At 37.6% G+C, this 1,943-nt stretch overlaps 1 annotated feature.

Moving 5' to 3' along the window:
- Positions 1,588-1,719: a silencer, noted in NCBI's record as "fragment chr8:24471047-24471178 (GRCh37/hg19 assembly coordinates)". NCBI's record gives its function as "represses an EF-1alpha promoter that drives an FKBP-Casp9 reporter gene in an ReSE screen in HepG2 liver carcinoma cells, and both phorbol 12-myristate 13-acetate-treated (for megakaryocytic differentiation) and untreated K562 erythroleukemia cells {active_cell/tissue: HepG2 | K562 | K562(+PMA)}" and the evidence as "EXISTENCE:reporter gene assay evidence [ECO:0000049][PMID:32094911]".

The raw sequence follows: 1,943 nt of genomic DNA on the forward strand, positions 1-1,943 counted from the left end.
AGCAGTTTTTTTTAATTGCTTTTAGTATCAATTAACTGCAGCAGACTCTCTAGTTGCTGATCTCACTCTGGGTGACCTGTCTTGCTTCCTTTGATGAATCGATCCTTGGGGAACTCTAGGGGAAGGCATTTGTTTCTGCAGCCTGATAGGCAATTCCTTGTTTCAATAGTGGCTAATCACTGTAGGCTCCATTTCCATCCTTAGGTCATGCCCTTGTCAGAGCATCCCGGCTGCTCCACAGCAGGCAGCACTTGGCTTTCCATTACATGTGTCCTGCAAACCTCTAGTAACCATGGTAATAATCATCAGAAGACACAGCCCCAAACCCATCCTGACCTATTGACCATCCATGGTGGAAACCACAATTCCTTCCTGTTTGAATGTTTTAAATTAGACAGCCATGAGATTTTCTTTCAGTCAAGGGACAATACCATGTGCCAATGACAACAGCGGCCTGATATCAATCAAAACAAGATATCAATGATAAGATGCTGTTCTAACACAATTCAGGTCAAAATGCAATCAGTCTTTTATCTGCAAAGGACAGCCAACATTTTTCAATGCCTGTGGTATTCTGGGATTTGGGATGTCTGCTTACTCTTTTTTAAAAAAATAATTGCATGAAGGAAATATTTCTAGTGTTTCTCTAAGAGGAATGTAAGAAATATTAAAAACTGAGGAGTGGCATTATAATTAAAATTAAAATTAATGGATTTTATAATTCTTCTCCCTAAGTTTAAAAAGAAGAAAACTGAGGCACCAAAAAAGGGGGAGGAGTACTTACCCAGGACAGCACATCTTTAAGGGATCACAATACTGAGACTTATAGAATGGTGGTTACCATGGATTTGGGTTGGTAGGGCAGGGGCAGTGGTGAGTGTTGTGTTGGGAAGATGTTGGTCAAAGGATTCAAAATTTCACTTAGAGAAATAAGTTGAAGAGATCTATTGTACAACATGATGACTATAGTTAATAACAATGTATTATATATTGAAAAATGCCAAGAGAATAGATTTTGAGTGTTCTTGTCACAAAAAATGACAGGTATGTGGAGCAATACATATATTAATTAGCTCGATTTAGTGATTCCACAATATATGCGTATTTTAAAACATCATGTTTTACTTCATAAATATATACAATTTTGTTAATTAAAATAATTGAAAATAATTATATCATTCATTATTTAGTTATACTGCATTTGTTGATTCATTCATGCATCACACTTAAAACGGCACTCTGTATGTGGGTGTCTACACTTCTTTAAAGGGGATGCCTGTGTTTACATGTGACACTGTATGAGATGGTGCATGGGCCATGGGATAAATATAGCTCATCTCCATAGACTGTCAATTTTATTAAAATATATCTATGGGGAAATAAAACAACTAACCCGAATATAATATGGATTGCAATGCAAAATTCACATGAAAGAGAAAAAAAAGACAATTTGAAACAACTGTCTGTTTTTGGCAGCCCTGGTTAGTCTTTTATACCAAGACCTCCAAGATTATTTATCTCCCTTTGATTGTCATTAGCAACACAAATTTGAGAAGAAAAATTGGAGAAACTCTATGCCAAGAATAAAACCAGCATATAGGCCAGTCGCGGTGGCTCACACTTGTAATCCCAGCACTTTGGGAGGCTGAGGCGGAAGGATCACCTGAGATCTGGAGATCAAGACCAGTCGGGCCAACAGGATGAAACCCGTCTCTACTAAAAATACAAAAATTAGCCAGGAGTGATGGTATGTGCTGTTCAGGAGGCTGAGGCAGGAGAATCATTTGAACCTGGGAGGCTGAGGTTGCAATGAGCCGAGATCACACCACTACACTCCAGCCTAGGTGACAGAGCAAGACTCTGTCTCAAAAAAAAAAAAAAAAAAAAGACAGCATATAATACAGCATATACAATATAATCTCTGACTTGATTATAATATGAAT

This window comes from Homo sapiens, chromosome 8 (genome assembly GCF_000001405.40).
Source record: "Homo sapiens chromosome 8, GRCh38.p14 Primary Assembly".
Lineage (NCBI taxonomy): Eukaryota > Metazoa > Chordata > Mammalia > Primates > Hominidae > Homo > Homo sapiens.